The 20,334-nt window shown below is 42.3% G+C and overlaps 3 annotated features.

Moving 5' to 3' along the window:
* Positions 9,753-10,745: an enhancer, noted in NCBI's record as "OCT4-NANOG-H3K27ac hESC enhancer chr12:13679281-13680273 (GRCh37/hg19 assembly coordinates)". NCBI's record gives its function as "activates a minimal SCP1, AML or CMV promoter by ChIP-STARR-seq in primed H9 embryonic stem cells {active_cell/tissue: H9 hESC(primed)}" and the evidence as "EXISTENCE:reporter gene assay evidence [ECO:0000049][PMID:30033119]".
* Positions 10,001-10,295: an enhancer, noted in NCBI's record as "tiled region #1480; HepG2 Activating non-DNase unmatched - State 23:Low". NCBI's record gives its function as "activates a minimal TATA promoter and a strong SV40 promoter by Sharpr-MPRA in HepG2 cells {active_cell/tissue: HepG2}" and the evidence as "EXISTENCE:reporter gene assay evidence [ECO:0000049][PMID:27701403]".
* Positions 17,081-17,375: a silencer, noted in NCBI's record as "tiled region #1907; HepG2 Repressive non-DNase unmatched - State 23:Low, and K562 Repressive non-DNase unmatched - State 24:Quies". NCBI's record gives its function as "represses a minimal TATA promoter and a strong SV40 promoter by Sharpr-MPRA in HepG2 and K562 cells {active_cell/tissue: HepG2 | K562}" and the evidence as "EXISTENCE:reporter gene assay evidence [ECO:0000049][PMID:27701403]".

Below are 20,334 nucleotides of genomic sequence, written 5' to 3' on the forward strand. Positions count from 1 at the left end.
CATATGTCAAAGGAGAGACATATAATCCCCACATGTCGAGGGAGGGAGATGATTGAATCAGGGAGTGGTTTCCCCCATGCTCTTCTCATGATAGTGAGTTAGTTCTCATGAGATCTGATGGTTTTATAAGGGGCCCTTCTCTCTTCTCTCTCCTGCTGCCATGGGAAAAAGGTCCTTGCTTCCCTTTCACCTTCCACCATGATTGTAAGTTTCCCGAGGCCTCCCCAGTTATGTGGAACTGTAAGTCAATTAAACCTCTTTCCTTTAAAAATTACCCAGTCTCGGGTAGTATCTTTATAGCAGTGTGAGAATAGAGTAATACAGTCTCTTTATTGATATTTTCATTTTGTTCCTACGTCATTTTCTTGACTTTCTCCATGTCTTTGTTTAGTTTTTTGAACATCTTTAAAACAGTTGTTTAAAATTATTTGTCTAGCACATTTGCCATCAGATATTTTTCAGGGACATTTTCTGTTGATTTATTTTTTTTTCTTTGGGTCATACTTCTCTGTTTCTTCATATGCCTTGGGATGTTCTTTGTTGAAAACTGAACATTAGGACCTAAAAATGTGGTAATTCTGGAATTCAGATTTTGCTTCTTCCCCAAAGTTTGCTGTTTTTTGTTATTGTTTTTATTTTTATTGTTGTAGATGATGTCTCTCAGTGCCAAGGATCAGCCTGTGGTATAAACTTAAGGTCTTCTGAGCCTGCCCCTTTCCTGAGTGTGCATGGTTACTTTCTAATTTTCCCCATAGTTGCAGTTATTTTTGCATGTCCTAAAGGTTACTGTTTAGCTCCCAAAAGGGAAAAAAGAAAGGGTGCTGGCTTTTTTTGCTTTCACAAAATAACTAAGGCTTTATTTTTCCCTGATTTCAGAATGTTCATATGAGTGTTCCCTATGACCACTATAATTAAGAAATATTGAAGGGTTTTTTTTTTTGTTTTTTTTTGTTTTGTTTTGTTTTTTGTTTTTGAGACAGAGTCTCATTTAATTACCCATGCTGGAGTGAGGGGCAAGATCTTGGCTCACTGCAACCTCCGCCTCCCCTGTTCAAGCTATTCTTGTGCCTCAGCCTCCTGAGTAGCTGGGACTACAGGTATGGACTACCATGCCTGGCTAGTTTTTGTATTTTTAGTAGAACAGTGTTTTGCTATGTTGGCCAGGCTGGTCTCCAACTCCTGACCTCAAGTGATCTGCTCACCTTGGCCTCCCAAAGTGCTAAGATTACAGGCGTGAGCTACCTATGCCTGGCCTGAAGAGGTTTTGTTTTTCATAAATTTCCTGAACTTTTTTTCTCTTCAACTTTTATTTTACATTTCAGGGTACATGTGCATGATGTGCAGGTTTGTTACATAGGTAAATGTGTGCCCTGGTGGTTTGTTGTACAGATCATCCCATCACCTAGGTATTAAGCCTAGCATCCATTAGCTATTCTTCCTGATGCTCTCCCCCGACCCCTGGCAGGTCCCAGTGAGTGTTGTTTCTCCCCTGTGTTCATGTGTTCTCATAATTCGTCTCCCATTTATAAGTGAGAACATGTGGTATTTGGTTTTCTGTTCCTGCATTAGGTTGCTGAGGATGACAGCTTTCAGCTCCATCCATGACCCTGCAAAGATACGATCTCATTACTTTTCATGGCTGCATAATATTCCGTGGTGTATATGTACCATATTGTCTTTATCCAGTCCATCATTGATGGGCATTTGGGTTGATTCCATGTCTTTGCTATTGTGAACAGTGCTGCAATGAATATACACATGCATGTAACTTTATAATAGAATGATTTATATTCTTTTGGGTATATACCCAGTAAAGGGGTTGCTGGGTCAAATGGTGTTTCTGTCTCTAGATCTTTGAGGAACTGCCAAACTTTCTTCCACAATGGTTGAACTAATTTATATTCCCACCAACAGTGTAAGAGCATTCCGTTTTCTTCATAACCTCACCACTAGTTGTTTTTAGACTTTTTAATAATCATCATTCTGACTGGCATGGGATGGTATCTCATTGTGGTTTTAATTTGCATTTCTCCAATAATGAGTTATGTTGAGCTTTTTTTCATGTGTTTTTTGGCCACTTGGATGTCTTCTTTTGAGAAGACACGTCCTTTGACCACTTTTTAATGTTTTTTTTTTTTTTCCTCATAAATTTGCTTTAGTTCCTTGTAGCCTCTGGATGGTAGACCTTTGTCAGATAGATAGATGGCAAAAATTTTATTTCATTCCATAGGTTGTCTGTTCACTCTGACGATAGTTTCTTTTGCTGTGCAGAAGCTCTTTAGTTTAATTAGATCTCATTTGCCAATTTTTGCTTTTGTGGCTACTGCTTTTTGCATTTTTGTCATGAAATCTTTTCCTGTGCCTATGTCTTGAATGGCATTGCTTAGATTTTCTTCTACTTTTTTTATAGTTTTGGGTTTTATATTTAAGTCTTTAATTCATCTTGAGTTAATGTTTGTACAAGGCATAAGGAAGGGGTCTAGTTTCAGTTTTCTGCATATGACTAGTCAGTTCTCCCAGCACCATTTATTAAGTAGGGAATCCTTTCCACATTGCTGTTTTTTTTCAGGTTTGTTGAAGATCAGATGGTCATAGATGTGCAACTTTATCTCTGAGTTCTCTATTCGATTCCATTGGTCTATATATCTACTTTTGTACCAGTACCATGCTGTTTTGGTTACTGTAGCCTTGTAGAATAGTTTGAAGTCCACCAGTGTGATGCCTCCAGCTTAGTTCTTTTTTGCTTAGGATTGTCTTGGCTATTCAGGCTCTTTTTGGGTTGCATATGAATTTTAAAATAGTTTCCTCTAATTCTATAAAGAATGTCAGTGGTAGTTTAATGAGAATTGCATTGAATCTATAACTTATTTGGGGCAGTATGGCCATTTTTACAATATTGATTCTTCCTATTAATGAAAATGGAATGTTTTTCCATTTGTTTGTGTCCTCTCTGATTTTCTTGAGCAGTGGTTTGTAGTTCTCCTTAAAGAAGTCCTTCACTTCCCTTGTTAGCTATATTCCTAGGTATTTATTCTTTTTGTAGTAATTGTGAACAGGAGTGCACTGATGATTTGGCTCTCTGCTTGGCTGTTGTTGGTGTATAGGCATGCTAGCGATTTTTGCACATTGATTTTATACCCTAAGACTTTGCTGAATTTGTTCATCAGCTTAAGAAGCTTTTGGGCTGAGATGACGGGGTTTTCTAGATATAGAATCATGTCATCTGCAAATAAAGGTAATTCAACTTCCTCTCTTCCTATTTGAATACTTTCTTTCTCTTTCCTGATTTCCCTGGCCAGAAGTTCCAATGCTATACTGAATAGGAATGGTGAGAGAGGGCATCCTTGTCTTGTGCTGGTTTTCAAGGGGAATGCTTCCAGCTTTTTCCCATTCAGTATGATATTGTCTGTCGGTTTGTCATATATGGCTCTTATTATTTTGAGGTATGTTCCTTCAATACCTAGTTTATGGAGAGTTTTTAACATGAAAGGATGTTGAATATTATCAAAGACGTTTTCTGTGTCTGTTGAGATAATCATGTGGTTTTTGTCTTTATATCTGTTTATATGATTAGTTACATTTATTGATTTGTGTATGTTGAATAAACCTTGCATCCTGGGGATGAAGCCAACTTGATTGTGGTAAATAAGTTTTTTGATGTGCTGCTGGATTCAGTTTGCCAGTATTTTATTAAGGATTTTTGCATCAATGTTCATCAAGGGTATTGGCCTGAAGTTTTCTTTTTTTTGTCATATTTCTGCCAGGCTTTGGTATCAGGATGATGCTGGCCCCATAGAATGAGTCAGGGAGGAGTCCCTCCTTTTCAGTTTTTTGGAATTGTTTCAGTAGAAATGGTACCAGCTCTTCTTTGTATCTCTGATAGAATTCACCTGTAAATTTGTATGGTCCTGGGCTTTTTTTGGTTGGTAGGCTATTTGTTATTGCCTCAATTTCAGAACTTGTTGGTCTATTCATGGATTCAGTTTCTTCTTGGTTCAGTCTTGGGAGGGTGTATGTGTTCAGAAATTTATCCGTTTCTTCTAGATTTTCTAGTTCACGTGCATAGAGATGTTTATAGTATTCTCTGATGGTTGTATTTCTGTAGGGTCACTGGTGATATCCCCCAGAACCATAATTTCTGGTTATGTTTATTTGATTCTTCTCTCTTTTCTACTTTATTAGTCTAGCTAGTGGTCTATTTTATTAATTTTTTTCAAAAAAACCAACTCCCAAATTTGTTGATTTTTTGAAGGGTTTTTCATGTCTCTATTTCCTTCAGTTCCACTCTGATCTTGGTTATTTCTTGTCTTCTGCTAGCATTGGGGTTTATTTGCTCTTGATTCTCTAGTTCTTTTAGTTGTGATGTTAGGTTGTTAGTTTTGATGTGGGCATTTAGTGCTATAAATTTCCCTCTTAACACTGCTTTAGCTGTGTCGCAGAGATTCTGGTACACTGTCTCTTTGTTCTCATTAAATCCCCTGGAAGTTACTTGAGTCAGTGGGGGAAGGACTTGTAACAATAGGGTAAGGTGTAACAAAAATGGCCAACTGCTTCTGTATCTGTACTTTGTTATCAGAAGCAGCAATCAGTGGTCAGGGCATACATCCCTGATATTTAAAGGACAGGGTCCTTTTTGCCCACTCTGGCTCCTGCAAGCTACATGCAGGCTGCTCCAGGAACATGTGCACAATTGCCTGCCACAGGGCTGGGAGTAGGAGATGGGTAGCTACTGTTAAACTAACAACTGAAATTGACCACAATTGATTGCAATTTACTATGCAAGCCTTTCCCTGGAAGCTGAAAGTCTTCAAAAAACTCCAGAATTCTTTTGTGCTATCATTGTCTAGGTGGGAGACAGATTCTTGGTGCTTCCCACTCCTTCATCTTTCCAGAGTCCTCTCCCAGTTGTTTCTATTTTTAAATTTCATTTTTTTAAAATTATTTATTTAATAGAAACAGATCTCACTATGTTGCTGAGGCTGGCCTTGAACTTCTGGGCTCAAACGATCCTCCCACTTCTGCCTCCCAAGTAGCTGGGACTACAGGCATGCACACTATACCTGGCTTCAATTGTTCTTATTTCCAAATAAAGTATGAGATAAGGTCAATAATTAAGTGAAAAGAGAAAAAGAAATAGGGGACTTTAAAGAGAGAGAAGAACAATAATTATAACAAATATTTTTATAGAACTTACCATGTTCTGGGTAGTACACAAATGTTTTACATCTATTAACCCATTTAATTTTCATAATAATCCTATATAGTGGTTCATATGAGGAAACCATATAGGTACATATTTACATGTGAAGAAACTAAGGCACATCAAGATTAAACTCACATAGCTGGTAAGTGACAGAACAATTGTTTGAACTGTCTCCAGCGACTAAGTGTGAAATAGTAGTCTCGAAGATTGCGAGAGTTGAGATACTATGGAAGTGTTATAGGATTGCCATTCATCAATTTTGAATGCCATTTAAAATGTGTGTTCATGAATTTAAGGCAAAACAGCCCAGTATACACTTTTCTTCAGAGTTCACCAATTACAGAGGAGGCTCAGAATAGCCACACAGTTTTGTTTAACCAGGCTTTGGCATTGCCTGGCAAGTTCTTGGACAGAGAATAGGGCAAAGGAGTTCATGATGCTTGTGAGGGAATGAGTATGATGATGTTGCTTGGCTGGAGATAGGACAGTGAAGATGTGTGGGGGCAATGGGGGAAATGGCAGCCTCAGTGGACTGGAAGGGTATTCTAGGTCAAAGCACTCAACAAGAAGTTGAGCTGAAAGGATGGGAGATGGTGCTCAGATGCTGGGAAAAAACTTTTGGAGAAGATGCAGTTATCAGTGTTAATGAAGGCAAAGGCATAAAACCCAGTTTGCTCTCTGTTTCCATTCTTACCTCTTATAATTCTCGTGATAGACTTCATGCTCCTCGCCTTGCTCAGGATACATTTTCTCCTGTCTTCTCTCATTTGAATAGTACCCATTCTTCATGTCCTTCCTCAAATAGAACCACCTTTGTTACCCCATCTTCCCATACTGTGATGTCTTTAGCCAGAAGTTATTTCCTTTGTTCTCTTGTGGTACCGTTTTTACTCTTCATATATTATATATTGCCTTTTAATGAGACATTTGTTTTCGTGTCTTAGATACTTTACTAGGTCTTAAGTGCTCAAGGGCAAGAAGTATAACCCTGCAACTTGGTATTCTGTTCCAGGCTTGGCCTAGTGCCTTCCTGCCAGTAGAAACAGGAAAAATATAGATTCTAATTTCCTAAGTATAGAAACTGTGTAGTAGATGCTCAGTAAACAACTATTGAATTGAATTGGTGAACTCAACACATTAGGAAATATCATTTTATATTTTCCACATTAGACTCATATATCCATGAACCAGCACTACAGCAAATCTATTCTCACTTCTTTGTGAGGTTAATAGTTTGAGACCAGTCCAGTTATTAATTATAGACCATAATAGTAATATATGTAACATATCACTGTTAATTAATAATTATATAAATATATATAATTATATTAAATCTCATATAATACTTTGTGATAAGCATTAAGCACTATAATAGCATTAAGAAGTGGGTGTTGTTATTCCTGTTTAAGGTTAAACAATTGTTCAAAGTCACAGAGGGAGCTGGCAGCAGACCTAATTATCAGTAAAATTCAATAAATGCTTTTAACCACTGTTTTCTAACTTTTTGATTATGACACATGGTAAGAATATTACACTACAGCCCATGACAAAGACATACACACATGTGCATCTGAAATTAAAGTTTCACAAATTAATACTTACCTTTACTATATGCAATATACTTTGGTACTTCCCGTTTGATTTTATTCTGTTTCATTTTAAATGCTAAATGGAACTCCCTAAATTGATTTTACAACTTACATACAGGTTAAGACTCATAGGCAGGAAAAAGATGCCCTCACCAATGCTTTTACTGTTTTCCCTTGCTTGAATCGATGAGTGATTCACAATCCTCCTGTAATTCTCCTAAACCACTGGATCAAGTTTCATTTCTTTAAGAAAGAAGTATCCTAACTGGTGTGCATGGGAAATAACATGCACTGAAGCTGCTGTAATTACACAGTGTTGAGCATAAGTTAAATGACATATTCCCTTCTGAGTTACAAGTAACTCAGCTACAGAATTGCTGGAGGATTAGTTAAGACAATTCTAATTGAAAAAGAAATATAATTAAGTTCAGAGAAGTCAACTGTCTCTGAAGCAAATCACTCTCCTACCAGAAGATCTGTTCTCATTTACATCACACTGATCGAGCAACTCTTTGGTAGGTAGAACCCTGAATTCAGTTTTTCTCATTCTTGCTTTCATTTAGTTACTTACCAACTCATTTATTTATAAAAGATCCATTAAAAGTGAGAGCTAAGGACCGTGCTTAGTTTTCACGATGGGCACTGCCTGCAGTTTAAAATTCAGTGTCATAGCACTGAAAGGGAAAAATGACTCAGGCACTGGGGGAGGACTAAGGGAGGAGGCTCTTCATTGTGCCTGAAGGGAAAGGGGTCAGGAAAGACATCAAAGAGGGGATGATGCTGACAATGCACCTTGGAGTGATCAGGATTTCACATGGAAGGAGAAGCTGGAGAAGTCAGGGTAGGGCTGGGAGGCAGGGAGAGAACATTCCAAGTAGCTGATCCTGGTATGTTCAGGAAAATGCAGCTATAGTGGAGCATGTGGTACTCATGGGACATGAGGCAGGAAAAATGAGTGGGGATTGATTATGAAGATCTTCATGATATACAAGTAGTTTTGAATTTATTCCATAGGTGACAAGGAGCTACGAACAAATGTTTGGCAGCTGAATGATGGACAGTGCAGCGTTTTGGAAAGAGAGCACTAGTGTTGTGTAGGCCGGGGGATGACACAGGGTGAACCATCCTGGAAGTGGATTGAAGACAAGGGCCAGGTTTGAGAGAGATAGGTAGTAGAAGGGACTGGAGTTAGTGTCTATTCAGTGTGGACAATGGCACTTGGAGTCTGCTTTGGGGGGCCAGGCAGATGGTGGTGTGATTTGCCAAGACAAGAGCTGCAGGAGAATGAACAGGTATGGGGGACAAACTAATACATTCTATTGTATGGAGGTTGCATCTGAGGCCACCAAGAGATTTCAGGTGTAAATTACAACAGGAAGGCAGAAATATTACTCTGGAGTTCAGACATGGATCTGGTTACAGGTATAGATTTGGAGCTTATAGGTTATAGTTGGTAGTTAGAGCATTAGATCTAAATGAGTGTGTGTGTGCAATAAAAATAAGAGCGCTAAATTAGGAAGAGCCTGCCTATTTGTAGGAGGTGAGCTGAAGAGGAGTAACATATTAAGATAGGAAAAAAAAATCCCTGTATATATCAGCTCAAGAGGCAGGAAGATAATTGGGAATCATTGCCATTATGGATACCACAAAGGAAAGAAAATTTCAACCAGGAATTTTCAACAGCATCAAATAACAGAGAAAGCCTGCAGTGTTCACTGGCTTGATCAGAGCCAAGTTTAGGGGTGGGGCAAAGCATAGGGAGGTGGGGAGAAAGCTGGATTGCAAGAATGAACAGCCTATCATTGCAGCAGTGAAACATGCAGCAAAGGGGAATGTAGCAGAGGGAAATGCATCAGTGGAAAATGGAAATGCAGCAGTGGGAAATAAGAATACAGCAGAGGGAAATGTGTTAGTGGAAAATGGGAATGGAGCGCTCGGAAATGGGAATGAGGCAGAGGAGAAGAGAAATGGAGAAAGGGGAATGCAGCACTGGGAAAGGCAATGGAGAGAATGTAGTAGTGAGAAATGGGAATTCATCAGGGGGAAATGGAGGGATGGAAATGGGAATGCAGCAGAAGATAATAGGAATGCATGAGTGGAAAATGGAAATGCAGCAGAGGGGAGTGTAGCAAAGGGAAATGGAAATGCAGCAAAGGAAATTGAGAATGTAGTAGAGGGACATGGGAATACAGCAGAGGAAAATGGGGTTGCAGAAGTGGAAAACATGGGAATGCAGCAGAGGGGATTGCAGAGTAAGAAAATGGAATGCAGCAGTGGGAAATGGGAGTGCAGCAGTGGTAGATAGGATTGCAGCAGAGGGAAATGGAATGCAGGAGTGGGAAATGGGAATGCAGCAGGGGGAGATGGAACGCAGGAGTGGGAAATGGGAATGAGGCAGAGGGAGACGGAATTCAGGAGTTGGAAATGGGAATGCAGGAGTGGGGAATGGGAATGCAGCAGAGGGAGATGGAATGCAGCAGAGAAAAATGGGTTTGCAGCAGAGAGAGATGGAATGCAGGAATGGGAAATGGGAATACAGCAGAGAGAGGGAATGCAGGAGTGGAAAATGGGATTGCAGCAAAGGGAGATGGAATTCAGCAGTGGGAAATGGGAATGCTGGAATGGTAAATGGGATTGCAGCAGAGGGAAATGGGAATGCAGCAGAGGGAGATGGAATGCAGGCATGGGAAATGGAAATGCAGGAGTGGGAGATGGAATAAAGAATTGGAAAATGGGAATCCAGCAGAGGGGAATGGGATTGCAGCAGAGGGAGATGGAATGCAGGAGTGGGAAATGGGAATGCAGCAGAGGGAGATGGAATGCAGCAGTGGGATAGGGATTGCAGCAGAGGGCGGTGGAATTCAGGAGTCAGAAATGGGAAGATGAAGCAGAGGGAGATGGAATGCAGCAGTGGGAAATGGGAATGCTGGAATGGTAAATGGGATTGCAGCAGAGGGAAATGGGAATGCAGCAGAGGGAGATGGAATGCAGGAGTGGGAGATGGGAATGCAGCAGAGGGAGATGGAATGCAAGAGTGGGAAATGGGAATGCAGCAGAGGGAGATGGAATGCAGCAGAGGGAGATGGAATGCAGGAGTGGGAGATGGGAATGCAGCAGAGGGAAATGGAATGCAGCAGAGGGAGATGGAATGCAGCAGAGGGAGATGGAATGCAGCAGAGGGAGATGGAATGCAGCAGAGGGAGATGGAATGCAGGAGTGGGAGATGGGAATGCAGCAGAGGGAGATGGAATGCAGCAGAGGGAGATGGAATGCAGCAGAGGGAGATGGAATGCAGCAGAGGGAGATGGAATGCAGCAGAGGGAAATGGAATGCAGCAGAGGGAGATGGAATGCAGGAGTGGGAGATGGGAATGCAGGAGTGGGAAATGGAATGCAGCAAAGGGGAAGGAGAATGCATTAGAGAGACATGGGAATCCCACAGGGGAAAATGGGACTGCAGAAGAGGAAAACAGTCATGCAGCTGTAGAAAATGCAGCAGAGGGGAAGGCCACAGGATCAGTGGGCAGCCTGGCATCATGATTAAGTGGAGATACCATCACAGGTTCATTTGTTCAACTAACAGTGATTGAATACCCACTGTGTTTGGGGCATTTGTCTCAGTCCTAGGGATACATCAGTGAATGAGAGAAGATGAAAATCCCTTCCCTTATAAAGCTTACTTACATTCTCAAATGACCTGGAAATGAATACCAGTTGTGCCACTTCCTTCTGTGTAGCCTTGGGAAATTCTTTAATCTTAGTTGGTCTTTGTTTACTAGTCCATAAAATGGTATGGCAATAGTACCTCTGTCACTGGGTAGTTGTGAGAACAGAAAAGTAACATAAACCACTTGGCCCAGTGTCTGCTCTTAATTATCTCTCAATAAATGTTAACTAAGTTAAGTAGACTGTGGGCTACTTTTTCAGAGACATGCCTATAATGGTAATTAAAAGAGATCTGATAATGGCTAAAAGTGCAACCAGGATTCAGGGAGGACATTTTTCATGATGGGAGAGGTCTGGCTTAATTGTGTATGTGGGAAGTGTGACTCAAGTCAAGGAGAAATCTAATCCATGGCATGAAAGCCTGGAGGAGACGATAGGGCCTGTGCGTTCCCATTCGGTGGGCAGTCGCGCCTCACACTTACCACATCATCCAGAGTCTCAACTGGGTGAAACAAAATGGCCATGCTCACAACCTCCCATGTTCCTGTATTTTCACCATCTTCTTATTGCCTATTTCTGGATCCAGGCTTCTTTGACCACTGAGGGGATTAGCCCCTCAGTGTGCTGTTGGCCCACACCAGAGGCAGCAGCCCCATTACTGGGGTGACCATTTACCCACATGTCCCAGCACTCTCTTTTTCACATCAGCCTATGATTTCAGTTCTTCCCACATTTTAAAGTCTCTTCCTTCCCCAGACTCAAGAGCTGTGGGTGTTGCAAGACCACACTAACTATGGAGCTAATATAGATCAAAATCCCCTGTTCACCAACTAGCTGTGTAGCTTTGGTAAAGTTCCTCAACTTCTCTGAGCCCTTATTTCCTCCATTGTGAACATGAGAATGCTACTCCCTTCGTGGTGTTATGGAAACATCAAACCTGAAAATGGAAACTATCAATTCCACTGCCTGGCACACACTAAGTGCTCCATAAATATTTGTTTTTCTTTTGTTTTTTGTTTTGTTTTTTGAGAGGAGTCTCATTCTGCTGCCCAGCTGGAGTGCAGTGGCATGATCCCGGCTCACTGCAACCTTCGCCTCCTGGGTTCAAGCGATTCTCCTGCCTCAGCCTCCCAAGTAGCTGGGATTACAGGTGCCCACCACCACACCCAGCTAACTTTTATATTTTTAGTAGCGACGGGGTTTCACCATGTTGGCCAGGCTGGTCTCAAACTCCTGACCACAAATGATCCACCTGCCTCGGCCTCCCAAAGTGCTGGGTTTACAGGCCTGAGCCACTGCACCGGCGATATTTGTTTTTCTTATCCCAATAGTCCCTAAGCATACAATCATTTAATACTTACCTTAAAATGACAAACACAAAGACTCACAGAATATTACACGATAATTTACTTAACAATTTCTAACCTATAAAATGGGAGTAACAATAGCATAAATATGCAGTGTCACATCTTTGTGGTTATTTTGACTTTTGCACTCATGAAGGCAAACATGAAAATGCTCCAGGTCTACTTTTCCATCAGGACTGAAATCTTGGTGGGGTGAGAAGTTCTGGTACTAGATGCTACAGTGAGATGGAAAACTGAAGTGTGTTCTACGTTGAATATGAGAATCCTTAAACCAAAAGACAGTGTGTGCCTTAAACTTCCAGTAGGGTTGTTTGCATTCCAGCCGTCACTCCCAGGGCTAACTTAGAGACCTGAGATAGACTGACCCAGTAGCATGGAGTTCTGAAGACAATTCCCAGTTTTGCGCAGACTGGGCCTGCCTAAGCAGTGATGTCGGGTTTTGTGCCAAAACTGTCAGCATGGAAGAGGTTGAGAATAAAGATATATCCAGACAAGTCAAAGGCCAGGAAGGAACACAGGCAGGACAGGCCATCAGTAAGATATTTCCTCATAATGTCAAAAAGGAACCCAAATTTAGCCCCCGACAGATGTTAACATAGGAATCCAGCAGTAGCATCTCCAAACAGCCTGGTTGTTGCTGGCATGGTCATCCCTCTTCTGTAGACACAGATACACCACCCTCTTACATGTAGGGGTGTGCTCACTGCCCTTCGCTAGGCTACAGGGGTTTCTGCCACTCCCTTTGGTTTCTCCACTCTAAATTTGGGTTTTTCACTCCAACTTTGGGTTTAACCAGTCTAAGCCATTAACCTGAGTAATATCAATTCTGTCTGCCCTGATGGTGCACCAATCTTAGAAGTCAGCAAGGGTAAAAGAGAAAAAGAGAATGTTATACATACGATTCCTCCTCTCTCCTGTTTCCCCAACACACCCCCACATTATCCCTTTCACAGAGCCTTTGCACTGGCCGTTCCTTCTGCATAGAATGCTCTTCCCCTAGAATCCTTCATGGCTCTCTCCCACTCTGCTCATGTGGAACCTTCTCGGAGGCCTCCTTGACCACTCACCCTGGACTCTCCCCACTTCCTTCTGTTTACTCTTCTCCATAGCATTGATTACTCTTTGGCACAGTAAACATCTTACATGTTTGTTTTTTATTTGCCTCCACTCACCAGATCTCACACTTCACTAAGGAAGGGATTTTTGTCAGATCCGATCACTGCTGTACCATCAGTCACAAGAATTTACCTGGCATATAGTAGATGCTCAGATACTTGTTGGAAGGAAGGAAAGGAGGGAATGGAAAGGGAAAACAAACATATAAAAAAGGCAAAGTTGCATTTTTTGCCTAAGAGCTTCCAATTTTACATTGTTTAACCTTGTACTCTATGCAGAGCCTCTGCTCACACCCTTGAGTGCAGAGAGGCATTAGTGCAGGTATCTGTCACTCAGGACCGTCCAGTCAGGCTGTGTTCTTGAGATCAGGTAGAAAACAAGTGGCATAAAAGAGATGTGAGCATCAAAGGAAGAGGAGCCCACATTGCTAGGGTGACTGGAAAAGGCTGCAAGGAGGAGGTGACATTTGAGATGGTGTTTCTTGGGGTATTGGGAGTGCAAATGGGAGTATCTGCGTGAAAGTAGGGAAGGATGGGATGCGATTGGAGAATAGTAAATAGACTAAGTGAGCTTCAGCTCCTGGTGTGTGAGGGAACCCCAGACAAGAAAGCCAGAAGGGGAAACAAGCCCACGATGTCGGGGAAGTGTTCATGCTCATTCACAGGCAGTGGGAAGCCATAGCTGGCCTGGGGAGCCGAATGGCCAGGACCGTTTTGTGTCATAAGAAGGTCATCTGAGCAGATTTGAAGGATGGATGGGTGTGAGGGACTCTGAGGGGAGTGGATCCTTCAGGACTTCATTGCGTTCATTCCTTAGGGAGATACAGAGGGCCTAATTCAGAAGGAGGGAGAGCATTTAGATGTATTTCAGAAGCAGATTTAACAGGACTTGGAAACTGATGCATATTGGAGTGGGGACAAAGAGAGTCAACGAGTCAAAGCTGACCCAGACTTTGAGCCTCGGCATGGGAGAAGGGAAAAGGCATATAAGGAGGGAGAATTTGCAGAGGCCATGTGGATGCACCCACTGGTTCACCCTCATTTTGAGTAGGAAAGCCCTAGGACTAAGATGTTAAAGTAAGCAACTGTTCCCACTTTGTCCATCTTTTCTGTAATCTTTTAGAACACCTGAGACTTAGAGCTACACACAACAGGCTGTGCGGTGATGTGCTGGGCAACAGAACATCGATTTCGACGTCAAAAGACCTTCATAGTGCTTCCGAATTCTGACTTACCTTAGGCAAGTGCCTGAACCAATGGGTTCCTCAGTTTCTCCTTTCTGTTGGAATTGGGTAATGTTGATATTCACCAACCTGCTCTGCAGCATAAAAGTCTAATGGCAAACAAAGTTTGTTATGTACATTGAACTCCTGGCCTAAAAGGGACTGTGATGGAAACACAGTTGGTCCATCCACATAAAGTACTTATTATGTTAGGAGTGTAATTAAGGTCCTGCCGAGCTATTCATAAGGTAAGGTGGGGTGGAGGTGGGGTTATGTTGGATCAGGCCAGATTCCAGCTAATGGAATTACCCTCTCCCTGTGAGCCTTCCTCTGCTGCCCTTCTGGTTTCTTGTGCACCCCTCCCTTCTCGCTGTTGGCTCTCAGCAGCTCTGCTCTGTTCTATGCAGATGGTTTCACTCTTGCCAGCCTCTACCGGGCAAGAAGTGGCACTTGTGAGAGGAGACAAAGGCCACTAAGTGGGTCCAAGAGACACAGCTGCGCCGCTCCAGGACACGGGGACATGGCAGGGGCCTGAGTAAGGCAAGGTTATTATTTTTCCTTTCTCTACCATCCAAACACGAAGCTACCTGTGGCATCTAAATTGCAAAGGCTAAGCTTTGAGTCTGCGTTGGACCAATTGACTTGGGGTAATTGGGAAAAGAACAGGAAATTATAATGGGTTGAAGGTGGCCTGCAGAGCCCAGGCCCCATGTGAATGCAGTCGCTGCTGTGAAATGGAAGCTAAGAGTACAGTGCCTATTACTTTCCCACAAGATGCTAAGAAGTGAAGCTTTTTGCTCTTTGCTATGGAGATGGTGAAAGACTGGAGGCATTTTGTGCCCCTTTCCCTGAAAAGCAGGGCTCTAATCTGATGGGCAGAGTGGCTAAAAGGAGTTCATGTAGATTAAAGGAGAACCTGGGTCCAGGCTTTGCAGGGGGAGAAGCTGGTACAAGAGATGGCTGTGATCTATCCGGAAGCATCAGCACATTGACACAGCCTCCAGGCCCATGGTGTGACCCCCTCTGGTTTGTGAGCCAACATTCTTAGGATGAAAAGTTAGACAGGAGAGCTGGGAGGGCCTCCTTGAAGGCAGGCCTGGGGGACAGCCTGCCTAACCTGGAAAGCATTCCCTTGGGGTCATGGTGTCTGTCTGATCCTGCCAATTTGGAGAATCCTGTCATCTTCCTTCCTAGGGATTCTCATGCCAGGGTGATGAAGTTAAGGCCTGAAGTAGGTTAAATAAGAAAACTAAGTAGGAAGACAAAGCTTTGAATTAAAAATAGAGACCTGACCCATGTCTGACATTCACCTCCATGTGGAAAAGGAGAGGAAGATTTGGCATTCTATGTTTTTGTTTTGTTTTGTTTTGCTACTGGGATGGGTGACTTAATCATAGGGAAGGAAGGATGTCTGTATCTATATTTGGTTTCATTGTACCCTCCCTTCTGCCAGTCCTCACAAAATCATACAGTGAAGCATCCAATCCTTTTTCCAAACTCTCTTGAGAAGACCTCTCTCCCCAAGTGAGCTGTTGCCTTCACCTTTCCTTTCCCCTCAATTGCTTTGCAATCTCTTCTTTGAATCCCACTTCCCTGATGTTCACCCTTGAAGGTAAAAGCCACTATGGCTCAGGGCCCACTGCAGGGCACAAGATCAGTGATGCTGGGTGAATCTGGGAGCTTCATCTTCTGATAATAAGGGTCCACGCGCTTCGGATTCAATACGGCATGAGAGCTTCCCGGTGGCCAAGGCTGGTTTGGGGAGGGTGACATGAATTCCTCTAGCGGCTACATGGCAGCCTAGAGACTCCCTCCCTCATTTTTTCTTTTCCGATTAAATAGAAATGGCAGTGACTTGTGGAGTGATGTGGGAGAGAGGGGATGACCACCTTACAGACACTACAGGATGACGTAGAAATAATTTAGAGCCTGAAATACCAGGAGGCAATGACTTCGCCAAGAATCTGGTACATTTTCCTGTCCCTAGGAAAAATTGTGTACTTGTTGATTTCATAGGGAGAATGGGGAGGGACACAGTGCAAGCAGAGTGGGGAGATCAAATTGTAGAGTAGCAGAAACGTGACTACATTCAGCTCTCACTTTGGTATTTCCTCAGGCATGTCGGTGCAATAAGATGTCAGCACCATGACACTGTTATGGTGAGGTAAGGAGAGCCAGGGCAAGTTTTGTGGGTTCATGCAATCCATTTCTTGCTGGTAAATGTTTAGAAAGGATCTGCTAAGTTGTTTTCTTCATGTGAAGGTTTTATAGTAGTGACTAGATCAAAGTTATGAGGAAGGGTATGCTTCTGTCTGTATATTTGGTTCCATTATACCTTCGCTTCTGCGGCATCATTCTCATCACCGTATGTTACATTTTTCCTCTCCTAAATTTCTGCAATTATCCATGCCAATCATCATGAGAGTTGCATGGTACAATGGAGAGTGCACTGGACTTGGGAAACCTGGGGTCCACTTCTCACTGTGTGGCCTTGGAAAAGTCACTTCCCCTAGTTTCCTCATCTGTAACATGATGATAATGCTGCCTGCCTACCTACCTGTCAAGGCTGTGGTGAGACTCAAAAAGACCAATGTATAGAAGCGATTTCTCTTCCTGAGTCACCTGCCCTTTTCTATCTCTCCCCTCCCACATCCCCAAGTCTAGCATTTTCTGTACTTTTATATATGCCTGTGTCTCTTTTTCACTTCAATTCAGGTGTGGCTTTCCTAATCTGCTGTGAAGATACTCTTTCAAAATGAGTCTTCTGCAAGAGTATCCCCTTCTCTAAAGAGGATTTCATGCTTCCACCCCAGACTCAAAGGCTTCTCCACTGAAGCTGGCACCACATGCACAGGTAGCACTTTCCAGGATGAGTAATCAGACCTACATCCTTAAGGCTCTGCGAGACCAAATGCAGTGGGCACAAGTAGCCTCCCACTTGGGACAAACCCAAGTTTGTCGGGGCCATATATGGCTTTCCAAGACTTTGCCCAAGGAAGCACTGGCATGTATATTCCTGAGGGCAGGACTGCTGGTCTCTTTTGCAAGCTGCTAGATCTTTAACTCCTAGAACAATGCCTGGCACATAGCAGACATTGCATGCTCACTCAATAAATATTCGGATGAATGAGTGAATGCAAATGAGTAGAAGCAGTGGCAGACCTGCTCTTCCCCTAGAATTTTCTCATAGGTCCTGCGCCATAATCATCTCCACAGTCCCCACATAACCTTTGTGATCGTTGTTAACTTAGATCAGAACAGCTTTATCAAAATCTGCCAGTAGGTTTATCCTAAGAAAAAAGCTACACAGACAAAATAATGAAGATATCCTTTTTTCCTCCACTGCCACCACAACCAACAGAATAAATATAAAGCAGATAGATATACAAGCATCTACTTATATAAGTGATATTATTATTAAATGAGTTTTATAGAAAATAAATTATAAATTATATATTATGTAACTAATGTTATGTAACTATCATCCTCTCTATAAAGCTGTCAGGAAATATTCTTCTCATTATGTACAGGCTGCAAATTAATTAAGTCAATTCTTTTACCATTGTGATATAGCAATGAAAGCAAAGAAAAAGTCTGGCATTAGCGGTTGGTTACAGAATAAATACGCCAGTAGCTCATGCAGCCTTTTCTTAACCAGAATCATTGAAACGGATCCCATTCCTTAAAGGGGCATGCTCTCCCAGGCTTCATGAGGGGAGCCTGTGCAAACTTTTCCTTCATCTCACTTTGTGATCTGACAGCAGAGTTATAAAGAGAGTGTTCCAATATACCTGCCATGGTCCAGTTGAGGCAACTGACCAAAGCAAGAATTTGAGCAGGGAAAAGTTAAGGAATTGTTAACTGCATAATGGTTTTGTGAAAGGGTGAAAGAGAACCCTGAGTTGTAATGTGAGTAGCAACTACAGAGAATGACTTCCACTCTGGGATAGAGGGAACGTGAACAAGGAAGGGACTTTCTGCTGAGAGGGGAGCTCTGCAAGGCTGAGATTCAAGACTAAGACCATGGCAAGGGCATGGCTGCTGCACAAGAAAGAAACGGGCAGAAAGCCATCCTGGGATGGGGGAACTGCCCACGAGAGTTAGGGAGACGTCAGGAGCCAGATGCCCACAGAGGGGCTGGCTTGCTAACTGAACAAAACAAAACAAAAAACCTTTCATCCACCAGTCTCCCAGGCTCCCTCTGGCGCCCTCTATTGGCAGAGCCTAGCATAGAGAGGCTGGCAAAGGAGAGCTGTAGCTTACAGAGACCACCAGGATCACAAAGTAAGGCAAGAAGGACACGGGTGAATGTGGAAGCCCCAGATTAGTAACTGACACACCTCAAAGGACATATTGGGTAAATAATATTTCTGGGTTTCCTATATTCTTACTGTGAACCCTCTGTGCATTCCCTCTGGCTGTAGGTATTTGCACCAGCCTCTTTCCCTTCTCCTGGCCCTGATTCATTTTTGCTGGCATTAACTGAGACCACTTGTTTCTAGCCCTGGCTCCAGCTGAGCACCCCCCAAAGAGTTTTTACAAATTACTGAGTATTTAGCATCTGCAACTTCAAAATCTCCTTAGGTAACGCTAATATACAGCCAGAGTTGAAAACCTCTGGACTAGACGTTGACAAGAAATAAAGCTGCCTCAGAAATGACATTTTTAGGAGCACTGTGGCCTTCAAAGGCTCCATAACAGAAAAATTCTGGGTTAAGATAGATCTGTTCCACTGTGCAACTCCAAGCTGGCTAAGTAACATCACTGCACCTTGATTTCCTCCTTTGTAAAATGAGGAGTTGGGAGGGAAATACATTTTCCCCAGCGTTATTATAAACAGCAGATGTGACAATATATGTAAAATGTTTAGTGCAGTGCTGGCCATTATTAAGTATCCAATAGTTAATGTTTATGTTGACAGTGGTGGTGGTGATTCTCTCTTGCAAAGACCATTTCTTCATGACTTTCTCAGAATGGCTACCCAACGTGATACTCTGAACAAAGCAAAAACCCTCAAACACAAAGAGTTACAAAGGGACAAGATCTGCCAAGATTGGTGCCTAAGGGAGTATAAGGAACTAATTGTTGAGCATCAGAAAGGGGCAAGTCAATGATCAAGGTGTTGCTAGACAGAATGATACCACATTACATTTATCCTCAGCACTTTACAGTTTGCAGAATAGCTTCATGTTCATTGTCTAGTTTACTTTTTGCAGTAGATCTGTGAGGTGGTTTGAGTGATAAGAGCTTGGAAATGTGCATCACTGGTTTTGAACTGCTGATCTTTCACTTAATAGCTGTATGACTTTGAGCAAGTTGACAAATCTCTCCAAACCTCAATACTGTAATAACATTTGTAAAATGAGGTATTAAGAGGATCACATGAGATAATGAATGAAAGGGACTAGAATATGGTAGGTGCACATTAAATGATAGTTATTTTGGATGTAACTTGAAAGAAAAAAATTTCCTCTTCTCTGATAACTGAGAGGTTTCTTGGATAGGATAAATAATCACACTGTTGTGTGCAGTGGGATTAGAGAAAAATCTATACAAACATTAATTTCAAGAAAAGGCAAAAGAGAAAGAGAACAATCTTGACGTTCAAAGCTTTCGAGAGTGTGTATAGCTAAGCAGTGTAGACACCATGTAAGTAGCCCCATGGTAATGAGGTACTGAGGTCCCATCAATGACTAATAAAATAGCCCCCACATGGTGGCTGTTTTATTATTCATTTGAGGGACGTCAGTACCTAGACCGACAGCAGAAGGAAAAACAAAAAAATTGGCACTGCTTTTCTCTGAAAGAAGAAATACTATTTCTCTGGTATAAATACGGCTTTGAAGAGTCTATTGCTGCAGCTAGGAGAAGGGACCTGTGTACGTGGGTGTGTTGAGGGCCAGTGGTGGGAAAGGGGAAGTTACTGCAGACTCACTTGCTTCCTGAGGTGAGACAGGTCATAAGAAATGGTAGGGGCTGCCCCAAACTAGAGAGCAGATACTCTCTGGAGGCACACAAATCTGAATATTCAAAAAGCAGTGCCCGTCTCACAAAACCAGTTTCCTGACTGATTTTGAGGTCAGAATCAGTCTTCAGGACACCAGTTTTTGACCTTTGATTTAGAATCCCTTATTTGTGGAATAATACCAGAGGTGTCCACTGGTCAACCAGG

This window comes from Homo sapiens, chromosome 12 (genome assembly GCF_000001405.40).
Source record: "Homo sapiens chromosome 12, GRCh38.p14 Primary Assembly".
NCBI lineage: Eukaryota > Metazoa > Chordata > Mammalia > Primates > Hominidae > Homo > Homo sapiens.